Source organism: Homo sapiens, chromosome 13 (genome assembly GCF_000001405.40).
Source record: "Homo sapiens chromosome 13, GRCh38.p14 Primary Assembly".
NCBI classification, from domain to species: domain Eukaryota; kingdom Metazoa; phylum Chordata; class Mammalia; order Primates; family Hominidae; genus Homo; species Homo sapiens.
Window position 1 is genome coordinate 52,867,141 of NC_000013.11, and position 15,203 is coordinate 52,882,343.

At 42.0% G+C, this 15,203-nt stretch overlaps 2 annotated features.

The window, feature by feature from the left end:
• Positions 12,415 to 13,044: an enhancer, noted in NCBI's record as "OCT4-NANOG hESC enhancer chr13:53453690-53454319 (GRCh37/hg19 assembly coordinates)". NCBI's record gives its function as "activates a minimal SCP1, AML or CMV promoter by ChIP-STARR-seq in primed H9 embryonic stem cells {active_cell/tissue: H9 hESC(primed)}" and the evidence as "EXISTENCE:reporter gene assay evidence [ECO:0000049][PMID:30033119]".
• Positions 13,045 to 13,673: an enhancer, noted in NCBI's record as "OCT4-NANOG-H3K27ac hESC enhancer chr13:53454320-53454948 (GRCh37/hg19 assembly coordinates)". NCBI's record gives its function as "activates a minimal SCP1, AML or CMV promoter by ChIP-STARR-seq in naive and primed H9 embryonic stem cells {active_cell/tissue: H9 hESC(naive and primed)}" and the evidence as "EXISTENCE:reporter gene assay evidence [ECO:0000049][PMID:30033119]".

The following is a 15,203-nucleotide window of genomic DNA, read 5'->3' on the forward strand; positions in this document are numbered from 1 at the left end:
CACTCTCAGGACCATGTAGACCTTCCATTGTTGCTCTGGCCTCAGCAGCTGGTGTCTATGATTATGGGATTATTTGATTAATGCCTGTCTCCCTGACCAGGCTGTACATCCTGAGAAGGCAGTGTCTGTTTTTCTTACCATTGTATTCTTAGCAGCCAGCAGAGTACCTGGTACATAATAGGTGCTCAATAAATATTTGTTAAATCAATGAGTAAATGAAGTCAGTGTCCCTCTGGTTCCATTTATATTGGTGCTGTCTGCTCTCTCAGATCAATTTATGTAACTATTTTCCTAACATGACCAGTTCTGCCCTTTGCCTCCAGCTTCATGAGTCTCTGCAGGGTAAGGGTGGAGGGTCTTTACCTTGGTGAGCTCAAAAATATCTGATTGTGGTGGCAGGACGCTGACCAGAGGTTTCCAGAAGGTGTAGGGTCAAAAGACTGGGAAGCTGTGAGATAGCAAGAGAATATTGCTTTATAGATGGGCTGCTGCATAACTATCTGCTTTCAAAGGCTTCAGACTAATCAGAATTTCAAAGGACACTTTCAAATGTAATAGGATTCTACCTGCAAGAGTGATGAGTGAGGCACTGGAGCTGTTTATTTCTCTAGTTTCTATTCTAGGCTTGTATCAAAGATAGCTGGGGTCTTCTGATTTTATTTTCATTCATGCCCAAAATGGAAAAATCTAATGCAATGGCAGGATGGCAGTGATGGCAAGGCCACAAAGAAATAGTGCAACCAGCTTCTTGCCTCGGTTATTCTGGGAAACAGGATCACGGCGAGTGAGCAGCACAGTGCCATTCTTAGCCCATTGTTCAGATAATGGGATGCCATCATTTACACAGGTCCTAGGAAACTGGGGACAAATTTCCTCTTTCCTTCTTCATAACAGCCTTAGCCATTCTTCCTGGGTTAGACAGATCCTCAAACAAACAGAATGTCATGTACAAAGTGTTAAGAATCTGCTGTGAAGTTAAAATGACTAGCATGAACACTTTACATTGTTTTTATAACTGTTGCTTTTGACCATAGTAGTCTTGGGGAAAATTGTGTAGAAGAAAAAAATAAAACAACCAAAACAATCCTTTCTCAAAATCGTGGCGGGGGACGGAGGGGAGTATGCAAGTACAGGGAAAGCATGCAAGTACATGTGGTATTTAAAAAGATCTGCACCTGCTTTTCTCAGACCAGCTGGCAGACTATTCACAGAAAAGTACTGTTCTTTCTGGAAATACTCAGGACTGAAAGCATCTGCAAAGGAGTTGACAGAAGCTTTCTCAGATTGATTGCACGAAGACAGTGCCAACCATCATTTTAGAAATTTGAACTGAATTAGAACAGGTACTGTTTTAAAGCTGTGGTTTTGAGGTTTTGACACCCTGTAAGTTTTACATATGCCCAAGAAATGGCAGAAGCAGCACACATCTGCTTTGCACATAAAATTGTCATTTCCATATCTAGTTGCTTTATAACCAGATTCCTGGTGCTACTTTGAGATGCAGTGGAACAAGAGTTTTTATCAGCCCCACCTGAACAACAGAGACATGGGGCAACAGCTGGGAGGTGGCCTGTGCAGATCTTTAAGTTTGAGCCTATCCTCTTGGACCTCTGAGCCCAGCATTCAGAGAATTAATTCTTTGCACGGGGCCTCTGCGTGACCTGCCCCTAACCCCTTGGTCATCCTGGAGCCTGCATCCTTGATTCTGGTTCTTGAAGTCTAACCTCTTGGAGACAGTTACTGAAATTTAATGGAAATCCTGTGAACAGAGTGATGTATTTGGGCCAGATTGATAGCTATCTTAAAAAGCTGTGCCTGCGCATGATTCCTTAGAAACTGCATTTAGTTTCTCACAGAGCACATGAACCGAAAGGGTGCAAATACCCAACTCTGCTATTTAAAACCACTCAGGACTCTCGCTGTGCCTGTTGTTGAGTGAAATTGCATTATCTAATGAACAATCAATGTTCAGTTGACACCTGAGGGTCCAAATAGCTAATCCTGAACTAAATTTACTGATTTGTTCTCTGTTTCTAATCTTTACTATTGTTGAGCTTGTTCTCCTAATGTTGAGCCCCTCTTGAGGCCCTGACTCTCAGCCCGCGAGTTTCAGCCCAGAACACCTGCAGGCTCTGGAACCATAGCTGTTATAGTTTAGAAGTAATGGAAGCTATACTGACTATTGGACCCACTTGTGACTTTAATTCACCTACCTCCTTTATTTTTTCTCATTCATTTACTTTTTTCACTCACTCAAAACAAACTTATTTGTGAGGGACTCTGCAGGTGCTGAGCCCGAGGATTCTGTCCTGGCCCTGAGGAGTTTGTGGTCATTGTCTATCCCAGGATGCGGTGGTAACTCACCCAGACTTTGGGCTTTCACTCTCTGGATCTCAGATATTGGAGTAGACCATGTCTCTAATTTCTCAGAGCCTGTAAATGCAGGGTCAAGGCCTGGCTCTCCTGGTATGAAAGCTTCCCCACGTATTTAGTGATGTAGCACTGCACGGCAGTGGCTAAGTCTAATGTGTTGATTCTGTATTACAGAAGAGAATGCCTTTCATCTTTTCACCTCGTAGAAGTGCAGCATGGTATGTCAGAGCACCTGGAGGGAAAGGACCATATTTTATTCATTGCTTTCTCAGCTTCTGGCACAAAGCCTAGCATGTAGTAGGAGTTTTCAAAACGAATAGAGTGTGAACAGATATATCTGCTCAAAGTGTGTATCTTCCTCCAGGATCAGTGAGGTCATTTTCCCAGATAAAGAGGAACTTTATTCTTCCAGTGCATAGTTCAGCTTCTGAAATGGAGACAAGAGAGAATGACCCATCACCTCCCCATGAATGCAGCCAAACTGGATGTGACAAGATGTGGCACCACCCAGCAGAGCTCATCTTCTCTGTCCTGCAGAATGTTGTTGATGAGGCATGGACCCTTACTGAAGGTGTGACTTGGCAGAAAGGGGCTGTGCCCAGAGACCAGAAGTTTGGGGACCAAAATAATGCAGCCACTTCCCTTCTACACGTCCCTTCCTGGAACTGGGGTTTCAATTGTTCAACAAATTGCAGGTGAGCTTCTGTTCTAATTATTGGGGATGTAATAGTGAGCCAAGCAGACAGAGTTCCAGCCTTCCTGGAGCATTTCATAGAGCATTCATGTGCCGATGTGGGAGTGTGTGTGTGATCAATAAATGCAATCAGTGCTTACAGAGTACATTAGAAAGTGACACATGGTATAGAGAGACATGGAGCAGGGAAGGCGGTAGAGGATGCTGGGATGAGGATGATTTTAAACAGGGTTTCAGGGAAGCCTAGTTGTAAAGGTGATATTGGAGGAAAAGATCTAAACCTGGTAAGGGAGTGAGCCACATGGATTTTGCTGGGAAGAGTATTACAGAGGGAACAGGGTCTATAAAACCTCAGGCAGGTTGTGTCTGGTGTGGTCAAAGAACAGTAAGGAGATCAATGTGGCTGGAAGTGGGGGGCGTGGATGAGGGACACAGATCAGGTGGTGCCTTTTAAGAAAGGGGAGGAGCAAACATCAGCCACGTGTTTCTCTTTCCTCCACACTTACCAAATTCCTTCACTTTGTTTGAGGGTCTACATAGGTCAGTCATTAGAGAATCTGAATCAAAATCTTCCAGAAACATAAAACAAGTAGTCATCGGCCCAAGATTGAATTAGAATGCTGAGATTGCTCTGCTCTGAGTCTCCTGCTATATCTGTTAGGGTTGGGGAGGGAAGCTTGGCACTCTAAAATTAGGCACCTTGAGGAATTTAATAAAGGTGTTATTTACAATGATGCAGGCAGAGTGTAGGGAGTGCAAGAGGGATGGTGCAGTGTCCAAGGGATTAGCAGCACCAGGAGCCGTTGCCACTCCCAGGCCTGAGGGAACAGAAAGAGGGAGGAGTATCTGGAGCCAGTAAGGCCAGCTGTCTGGAGAGGCCCATCTTGCAGGAGCAGTGACCTTTGGCTGAGGGTATCGTCAGCCCATGGTGACCCCTAGGGAGAGAGCTGAAGTAATAAGCCCAAAATGCATTCTCTTCTCTCCCTCTGTCCTCCTGCTAGTGCTGCCCATGAGCTGACTTCAGCTAGAAACTGGAGGGCAGGGGAGCTCATTGATGTGGTGGGCATGGGCCAAACTTCTGGATTATGGAGTCTGCTAGCAAGAATGGAGAGTGGATCTGAAGGAGTGACTGGAAGACATCTGACATAGGCGTGCAGGCTAGAGAGAAGAGGGGGACATGAGACCAAGCAGAAAGTGAGACGGAGAAATGGCAGCCTCTTTGTGTAAGCAAGGTGGCTAGTCCCAGGTTGCTGCATTGAAGCTGAGCAGCCTAAGGACATCTCACTCCTACCCGGAGAGGACCACCCATTCTTAGTTATCAGTCTGTTGTCCAATGAGTGATCACATTTGGAGCAATGGTCATCTGTGCAGTGAGACTCTGCCCAATACCCCATCTGCCCCAAATTTATGAACACCACCAGCACATTTACAGGTGCCCACAGATGGGAGGGCAGGGTACTTGGACCTCTTGAAGGTTATGATGGCATGAAGGCAGAGCTTCATCTCTGGCTAAAGTGGGACCACACTCAGCCCATTTAGCCAGGACTGCAGCTGACTGTGCTGTTTCAGTTAACTTAATATAACCAGGAACATTCCTGGGCAGGATGGCAGAGCCTCAGCTGCAGCTGCTGGAGGATTTAGATTTCTCTGCCTTCAATGGCATTAGAAATTGGACAATGTCTCATCATTTGTGGATTTGGGTTTTTTTTTTTTTTTTGGTTATAGAGCTGACTGCAATTGATGATATGTATGACTGGAATCTCTCAAATTTCATTGTATTTCAGATCGACCCCAAGTCCTTACTGTGCCCTGCTGGGCCTTGTGGAAACCAGCTCCTGCTCACTGCACCACCTTCATTTGGTGGCACTCTCTTTTGGCACCCTAGCCATGCTAGAGCTATCTTCCAGGGACCCAAATGGCCACATTTCTTTCCACCTTTTGGTCTGGCCCCTCCAATTTCCTCTGCCTCTCTTCCTTTAACCATTTTGCTCCTTAAGTTCTACTCAGCTCAAAATCATGCCTCATAGAAGCCCTCCCTGACACTCTAGACTGGGCTGAGTCATCACTTGCATGCCTTCATAGTATCTTTCCCATCTAACACTTCTCACATTTGTAATTAAATTGTTCATTGACTAATTAGTTGTTTCGTGTCTGCTGTCCCTGCCCACATTTGAGTATAAGCTCTATATTTTGCTGCTGTCCAATGCCTGTGCATAGAAAGCACTCTATAAATATTTAAGGGAATTATTGACCAAAAGGAAAAAATAAGCTAGGAGTGGGTGTACACACATTGCACAGAAAAGAAATACAAAGAGTCATAGATTGGAAAGGACATACCTGTCCACCCTCTCCTCACCTCAGTCTTTCTGCGTGCTGGGAGAGAGGGCAAGTTAGAGGCAGCAGTCAGAAGCAGTGAAAGAAAAAGGAGCATGGAGATGGGAGAGTGACCTATTGACTGCCCCGACACCTGGGGACGATAAAGAAAAGCAGCTGTCAGATGTATCAGCACTGACCTAAAGCTCTTTAGCAAAAGAAAATCCACTCAGGCAATATTATCAGAAGAAAACTTTAAAAATGTGGGAATAGTAAACTGCCCACTCTGCTGGCTGATTTGCAAAGGTCCAGGCTCGAGGCTTGAAGTGGTAACAGGTTCAGGCTATCAAAAATTATTTTAACTAGTGTCCTGACATGTGGAGAATTCAAGAGCCAGCAAAATCAAGTGGGCTATTTGTAAGATGTTTCTAGCTGTCTGGTCCATCAGGACATCAAACACATCAAGGCATCAATATACTGTTATTAGAATTCACCAGCCCCAAATTATACTCAGGGACAGCGAATAAAATGGCACGACTAACGCCTAAATCTTTATTTCATGATGGCAGATTTATGTGTGTAGGATGAGATGGTCTCTGTGAAGGGGTTCACATTACAAACTTGGGCCTGACAGGGTCTAAGAAATAATGGTTGGCCCCAGAGGAGGATGGAGTTAAAGTTTATAGGGAACTCAGATAAATGATTTAGGGGACCCATGACAATGACAAAGAAAGAGACTGGTGAAATAGGTGAGGAGGAGAGGGAGAAGGGAGAGAGGTTGTTGGGAGAGGGAGGGAAGTAGACAAAAGAGACAAATTTACTGATAGGTACTGGCCATTGCAAATTCTTCATTCTGGCTTCAAGTTTTGAATTAATACTGACTAATCACGATAATATGATTCCTTTCTGGTGATGTTGATCAGCTAAAGGGCTTAGCTTCTGAGAATTGATGAAGATCCCCTCTATTCCTTTTCACTGTGCTGGCTTTCAGGACTGCTCCATTCTTTGCTGACTTTCTGTTATGCTCCTGTTTTCCCAAACCTGTGGTAGAAAAATGCCATAATTTACAATAGTTGGTATGATAACATATAATAGATAAAAAGATAACATACCATGCAATATGCATCTTTTTCTTTTTTTAAATGGTATTTTTTGTTACAGCATTAACACATTATAGTAAAACATAATTCAAGATAGGACATGCAATAGAATATATGACAATATGCAGTAAAATATAAAAATTAAAGCATATTCTTATATGCTATATATATCTCTCTCAGATACTAGGGTGAAAGGAGGTTCTAGTAAGTTGAAGATTGTAGCAAATTGAAAGTTAGAATGAGGCCTGGTCATATACATTAGCAAAATAGGCAGTCATCTGTGTCAGATGACTTAAGGGGGTGGTAACAGAGATTCCTACTCCAAAATTCAAACACCATAGCTTGCCATTTTATTATGAGGTAGTCATTTTTTTTTTTGGGTCTCAAGTCTTTTTCAGAATCGTTAGTAAAATTCAAATACCCTGGAGAGGAGTCACACTCCCTGTTTTTGTTAGGTGATTTTGAAGTTGTCAGGTGTCAGTCAATATGGTACCCTTCCCACTTCTCACCTCCTACTTCAAACCTGAAAATTCAAACTCCCTATTTCTCACTTCACAAATTAATAATCTTACAACAGTATAATTCCATTTTTCTCTCTCCCAGCCTTTGTTCTATTTGTCATGTCTTTAACTTCAACATAAATTTTAAATCCCACCTCGCAGTATTACTACTTGTGCTTCGAGTAGTTTTCTTGAAGGAAATTATGAGATGAAACAAAGCTAGTGTTTTACGTTTACCCACTTATTTACCAATTTTGGTGCTCTTCCTTCCTTCTTGTTCTTTCCGGTATCATTTCCAAGCCTGAGGAACAATCTCTGGCTTTTTTTTTTTGGAGACAGGGTCTTGCTCTGTTGCCCAGGCTGGAGGTGCAATCTTGCCTCACTGCAACCTTCACCTCCAGGGCTCAAGCAATCCTCCCACTTTAGCCGCCTGAGTAGCTGGGACCACAGCTGTGCACCACCATGCCTGGCTAATTTCTTTGTATTTTTGGTAGAGATGGGGTTTTGCCACATCGTCCAAGCTGGTCTCAAACTCCTAGACTCAAGCAATCTGCCCACCTCAGCCTCCAAAAGTGCTGGGATTACAGGCATCAGCCATCACACCCGGCATGGCATTTCTTTTAGTGCAAGTCTGCTCGCCACAAATTCTCTCAGCCTTTTTTGTCTGAAAATGTCTTTTTTTTACTTTTGTTTTTAAAGGATATTTTTGCTGGATATAAAATTCTGGGTTGACAGTTTTTTTTTTTCTTTCCAATGTTTTAAAGATGTGATTCCTTTGACTTTTGGCCTTCATTCTTTTTTATTTTATTTTTTTTTGTCCTCAGAGAACTTTGTTCTGAAATTTTTTTTAACTTTTTATTTATTTATTTATTTTTATTCTTTTTCCTTTCCTTCTCTTCCTCCTCCTTCTTTTTAAAGTTCCCTCTTTTCTGATGAGAACTCAACCATCATTTGTATTATTGTTCCCCTGCATGTGATGTCTGTTTTCCTCTGGTTATTTCCAAAATTTTCCCCTTACTGTTGGCTTTCAACAGTTTGACAAGGAAGCACTAGTATTCTTTGTATTTATTCTGCTTGAGATTCACTGAGATTCGTGAATTTATAAGCTAAAGTTTTTCACCAAATGTGAGACATTTTCAGCTATTCTTTCTGGTTAAACACACTTGTGTGATTTTTTTTGGGCCTGACCAAATTCAAAAGGCTTTGTATAGTAGACCTCATGGAGAAAGCTGCCCTCTTCACACAGACTTGGCACACAGATAGTGCATTGCAGTCTCTGAAGGGAGCTAAAGTCAAGGACTCAGGTCCCCCTGGCCAGTCAGGCTCATATTGCTTTTCTTTCTTTCCTTTTTTTTTTTTTTTTTTTGACAAGGTCTGGCTTTATTGCCCAGGCAGGAGTGCAGTGGTGAGTGCTCTCAGCTCACTGCAATCTCCACCTCCTGGGCTCAAGCCATCCACCCACCCCAGGCTCCTAAGTAACTGGGACTATAGATGTGCGTACACCACCACACCCAACTAACTTTTGTACTTTTTGTAGAGATGGGTTTTTGCTATGTTGCCCAGGCTGGTCTTGAACTCGTGAGCTCAAGCAACCCACCCACCTTGGCCTTCCAAAGTGCTGAGATTACAGTCATGAGCCACTGCACCTGGCCTACTGTGACCCAACACCCAGCAATTCTCTCTACTCTAGCCCTTCCCCCTGCCCCTCCTCCTGATCCCCTGTTTCATAAAACTGCTGGGGGCTTTTATTTGAGGCTCTGTCTATAGTGAGACGTTCTCTACATCTGCTCTGCCCCAAATGAGCCTCAACAGATACACCATTCCAAGAGAAGAATGAAACAAAGGGGAGTCAATGTTTTCCTGTTTTAGCCTTTTGCATATATCATCACAGTAAGTTATTAAAGACTTAACCCTTTCATTTTTGGCTTGTTGCTTTAATTGGCTCCAATGCCTAAGTACTCAGCTCTGTCCCACAGCTCATCTGTTTGCTCACATAATTTTCCACATATAATTTTCCTGGTCTATTATCACCTTCTCCTTATGGGACTCCAATTACATATGTTTGACTGTTGGATATTGTCCTTAGGTCTTTGAGGCTTTATTCATTTTTATCCAATCTCTTTCTCTCTTCTTTAGATGGGATAGTGTTTGTTGATTCATATTTAAATTCACTGAATTTTTCTTCTGCTACTTTAATTTTGCTGAAAGCCATGTGGTAAATTTTTCATTTCAGTTACTGTACTCTTCATTCTAGTGTTTCTATTTTTTAGTGGTTTCCATTTTCTCTGCTGAAAGCTTATATCTCTTCATTCATTAAGATTGTATTTTCAAAGCTGGGCATGTACCTGTAGTCCCAGCTACTAGGGAGCCAAGGCAGAAGAATTATTTGAGGCCAGGAGTTCAAGATCAGCCTCGGCAACATAGCAAAATCCTATCTCTAAAAAATATTCTTTTAAAAAATGTCTGGTTTTCACAGCTTTCCAGGAATAAAAGGAAAAAAAAAATCCACCCCAACAAAACAAAAAACAGGAAACCCAAAACGATTGAATTTTCCTTTAATAATTTGAACATATTTTAATTATTTGAATATGTTTATAATAGCTTCTTTGTCTGATATATTACATATGTGGAACACTTCCAGGTCGGTTTATATTATCTGCTTTTTCTATTTATTATGCATTATATTTCACGTGTGTGTGTATGTGTGTGTGTGTATGTGTGTGCATGTCAATTTTGGTTGTATACTGCATATTGTGATAAATCGTTGCAGACACTGAATTTTGTGATATTCCTCCATTTATTTTTGTTTTTGTAGGTAGTGGAATGACTAATAGATCACACAGAACTTGTATAAGCTTGGTTGTATGCTTTCTTAGGAAGTGCCATGGAAATCCCAAGGTGTTTTCAAAGCCCTTTAAACTCATGGGACTCAATCTCCAATCTTTTTTCTGGCATGTTGATCCTGTGAAAGCTTGGTTTTAAACTTTGGTAGGGTAGGTCTATTTTAAGCATTGCTCTGGGATGTAATTCTTACTCTCAGGTAGTGGCATTTCTGGTGTCTCGGCTGGATGCTTGGGCTGTGAACAAGGTGTTGCTGAGGTTTTTCCCCTCTTGCAGAGCTGGAACTCCAACATCCCCCAACAAAGCTTATTTATCCTCTGGTATCTCTGTTCTGCTCTCAATCCCAGAATAAGCCACATTCTGAGCAGCCTTATCTAAACTTTCCCTACATAAATACCATTCAGTCCTTGGCTAAGCCCTTGTGGAGATCCCCACATGGACTTCTGAAGATCCATCTGTGTAGCTCCCTCAATTTTGTGCCCTGCCTCATAGATTCCACCCACTTCGACTGCCTCAAGCTATGATCTCTGCCTACTTAGCTCACCAGGGCTGCTGTGCCCTGCCTGGACTCCCGCTTACTACCACACAGTTGAGAAATTGTCCCCTGGTGTAAAGATGGGATCTCAGCCTGTCAATTTCCTATCTCTCAAGAAATCAGTTTTGTGAGTTTGTATGTTATTTGTGAGAACAGTTACTTCATATGTTATGTCTAATTTCAAGTTTCTTTTAGTAGGAGGGTTAGTCTAATATCAATAATGGGAAACAGAGGTCTCCACCATGGATTCTTGAACAAGGGATAATAAGAGGGTATTGATGAACAATGATAAAAACTGCTTAACACAAGATGGCTTGTAGCTTAGGGTCAGGACACTGAGTAGGAGGTATTTTCAGTTTTCTTTTCTTTTTTTTTTTTTGGTTGAGATGCAGTCTCGCTCTGTCTCTCAGGCTGGAGTGCAGTGGCGCAATCTTGGCTCACTGCAAGCTCCGCCTCCCGGGTTCATGCCATTCTCCTGCCTCAGCCTCCCGAGTAGCTGGGACTACAGGCGCCCGCCACCACGCCCAGCTAATTTTGTTTTGTATTTTTAGTAGAGATGGGGTTTCACCATATTAGCCAGAATGGTCTTGATCTCCTGACCTCGTGATCTGCCCGCCTCGGCTTCCCAGTGCTGGGATTACAGGCGTGAGCCACCGCGCCCGGCCGGTATTTTCGGTTTTCTAAGCTGAGAACTAAGATCAGGATGGGGTTTGCAGAAATACAAACAAACAACAGGGAAACACCATGACAGAAAAATAACTATTATGAGTTATTGATAAATTAGATGCGAAGGATGAAGAATAAGGTTAAAAATGGTGCCAGAAATGCTTAAAAAATGAGCTCTTATCTTCGGAGATACATACTGAAATATTTATGGATGGAATGATATAATGTCTGGGATTTGATTAAAAATAATCCTATATAGGGAAGAAGATGGTGGGGAGGGTGGGTTATTGGTGAGAGAAGACTGGCCATGAGATGATTGTTGTTGAGGTTAGGTTATGAGTACACAAGAATGCATTATACTTTTTTCCCCTACTTTTGCATATGCTTGATATCTTCAAATTATAAACTTCCTAAGGCAAAAAAAGTATCATGGTTGTAAATCTGGGTGATGGACTGTTGGTGAAGTTGGGAAGGGTGCCCAGTTTTGAAGTAGGAGAAAAGGTATAAGCCAGTGGCAGTTTGTTAATTCTACAGCAAGTTTTTATGTAAAATGTTTTTTTAAAAATGATTGGCTCAAGCTAGCTCATTTTGTTCCTTCAGAGGTGTCATTAAGTGCAGATGTATTTGATTATCTGCTTGAAGGTGGGAGTCATACAGAACATGCTGAACCAACACTGTGGCATCCATGCTGTTCACTTATCCAACTCCGTATTTAGTGCTGGCTGCTTATATTAGCTGACGAAGCCCTGTGTGGTCTGGGTCCAGAATATAGTAGACAGCTTTGATCAGACTCTGGCACACATCTCCCTGAGTGGTTCTGGGAATGATTTCTAGAGGCATTTTGCCGTACTTCCCCTTTCTGCACTGCCTCCCCAATCAGCTGCACATGCCTGGAGCCTCCCTGAATCTTGTTGCACTCACTGGCTTCCTTCCAACTATGGACTCCATAATTGAGCCCAAGAGAGGGGCCTGTTCCCACAGCCTAAGGAATTTCAGAAGTAGAGAGACTTTTCTACAAGTTAAGCAAAATATAAATAAATAAATAAATAAATAAAAAGAAAGAAGGAAAGAGAACAAAACCACTATCATTTTCCTCTTTTACTCTTCACTTCCTTTTCCCATTCCTTCAAGAAATCCTTTCGGGTGCCTCTATGTGACAAGTTTTGTGTTAGGGATTGATTAGGGGTTCAAATGTGATCAAGAGGCTGGCTCTTATTCAAGAATCTTCTGCAGTTTGTAGGGGAAGAAAGACAGAAAGCAAGGTAAGGGGGCATTTATGTGTGCCATGCTAAATGTCTGTATGGGGCCCAGTGGGGCACAAAAAAGGAGGGGACAATCATTACTATTTTCTCTACTCTTGGGTTTGGATTATAATACTGTCCTTGCTATTTATGCATAATCTAAAGCCTCTTTGAATCTCAGTTTTCTCATTTTTGGACAAGACTAAAAATACCTACTTACAGCTTTTATGGGTATCAAATTAAAAAATGACCAAAAGGATGTTTGCAAACCATAGGTGTTGATGATGATGATAATGACGATGATGCTGATTACCTTTCCTTCTTCCAACCCACACCAGTGATCACTATAGTCCCTGCTTTTAACAGGTCAGATGATCATTGTCACCTGCACACTCAGCTATGTTAAGCTGGGGGATGCAGCCATTTCCAAGGAAGATTCATAAGTAAGAAGAAATTTCATTTTCCATTTAGGTAATAAATCTTCCCATTGACTTTTAAAAGTGTAGAGCGAAAATGTCCCTTTTGTCTGTTTAATACCAACCACCACCTTAACATTTGTTTTTCTGTACAGTTTAAAAAGTACTTCTAAAGTCATAAATCATCAGTGCCTCATAATAACCCTTTGACTTAGTAGAATAGATTCCATTTTGACCCTCATTTACAGATGTGGAAAATAAGGCCCAGAGAAGTTAAATAATTTGCCCAAGACACATTGCTAGTAGTGGCAGAGCCAGTGCCTGAATTCTGGTCTTCTCTTTCCTAATCTTTAAAATCATCAGCTTTTCCCTGTAAGTATCTATAGCATGCAGAGCTCTTCTTTGATGTCTTTTAAAAAAGCTTTCAACATTTTTTTAATCTTTAAGAAATTATCCATATTGTGACATACCGTGAGTGTCTGAAACTCCCCAGCCCCTAGTGCAGTAACAATAAATCAAACAAACAAATAACCATCCCCATTGTTTTGTAGATTATTTCCCCAGGAGGCAGATGTTTACTTTTTACAAATGAAAGCTCATTGTTGTCAGGAACATTTAAGAGGCTTAACCTGTCTCCTCTGGCATATGGCACTGGCTTTTCATGATGAAACTGGTTGTGTGCAGCAGCAGACGAAATTGCAAGCCTCTCTCTGAAACTTCATCAGTTGCTGTTGCAGAACGTTACTGCTTTCCTAGGCGGGGGCTTGTCTGGGCCTCTTCCACCGTGAATGGAAAAAAAAAGGCAGTTTCCTTTGGTAGAAAATACTCATATTTAATGGGTATGATGTCATGAATTATTTAACCAGCTTAATTTTAAAGCCGAGCCAAAAGAACACAGTGAAGAATGACCTTGAGACTCTTGAAAAATGGGAATGTTGACTGTGTGCCTGCAGACTCCAAGATGGATTTCTACTTTAGTTTATATTTATGCAACTGTGAAACTTGGTGCCTTGTTCCCAGAGAAATCCTTTGTGCAGCCGTGTGGAGAAAGTTATTACATTTTAGTGCAGAAGAGCTGTAAAGTTTCTTTCCTCATGTCTCTTGAAAGCTAGAGAGGTAGCGAACTTCGTGCTGGGGGAGTGGGGGCACAGCCCTGAGGAATGAGATGTAGAGTCTCTCAGAAGATGAAAGGAAACAGACATTGTTTTTATTCAGCAAAGAGCCTAGCATTAGGTTCTTAGAAGGACTTATGCATAATCCAGTGTCAGTCCTGTTAGGTGCTCACTTGCTTCTGATTCGAGGTGAATAAAGGAAAAGAAGGTGCAGAAGGATGAAGATCTGCCAGCCCCACTGTAGCCCAGGAACATGGCAGGCCCAGAGCAATTCCTCCCTAGTAAGGAGCCGTCCACGGAGAGCAGGAGAACACATTATGCAGAAAAGGGTCTTTCAAAGCTTTGAGTTTGGCCACTCCAGGCTCATTACCTGGTCAACAGGTTGCTGGACAAAATCATGGAAACTAATGGTGGAATGAGGTGTTCTTGATTCTTTCAATGCTGTGATGCCAAGCTGTGTCTGCACCCACAAAGGCATGTGACTCGACTCTCCTCCTCCTTCTTCTTTGTAACATAAGTTCCATTAAAAGTCTCTGTAGAAAGGAAAGGAGTGTGAGTGAGGAGGGTGGAAGAACCAGTATTTATCGAGGGTCTGGTAAATGCTTGGCTCTACCTTAGGTATGATTCATGAATGTCTGTGTGGTATTATCCCCATTTTACAGGGGAAGAAACAGGCTTAGTGTGTAAGATTTTCAACATCACAGTCATTGGCAGAGCTGGACTTTATTTGAATCTGGATATGTCTGACCCCGGAAGTTTATGTGAATTCACCATTCTTATTATGAGGCTCTTAATGATTGGTTTGATCGAGTTTCTACTTTCTTTCTTATGGTTTGTGTGTTTGTTTGAACTTGTTGGCCCTCATGTGCTGGATGTCTGTTTGTCCTTTCGGATCTATTCTCTATTCTTCTCCCCTCTGCCCTGTGTTTGGCAGACTGACCTCTAATGACTACTTCATCAGGAATTCATATCCCCAGTTTTCTCTCTGTTCTGGTTCTCTACTGAATGCCACAGATCCTGCCAGGTGGCCCTCTCCTTGCAGTGCCCTCAGGGTTTTAATAATTGTTCCCTCCCCTTACCCTTTGGGCTTTGGGGGAGTAACAGCTTCCTGCTGTTGCTAGTTCCTGGGGACTGCACTATCCCTTGTGTTTTCACTAAACACTGCCCACAGGTCTGTAAATTAGCCACTTTATTAAGACAATTGGATTGCCCAATTTGAGTGTGCCATTTGTTATGTCTGGGACCTTAACTGTTACAGGTATACATCACCTTAGTAATGTCATAGCTGCTGTCTTGATTTTGCATCTGTTAGTGACTATTTTTATTAGAGTGATGATTTTTGTCCTTTTTTGTTTGTTTGTTTTTCTTAAGGATCTCCTAAATATAAGTTCCAGAAGAACTTTTTTTTTTTT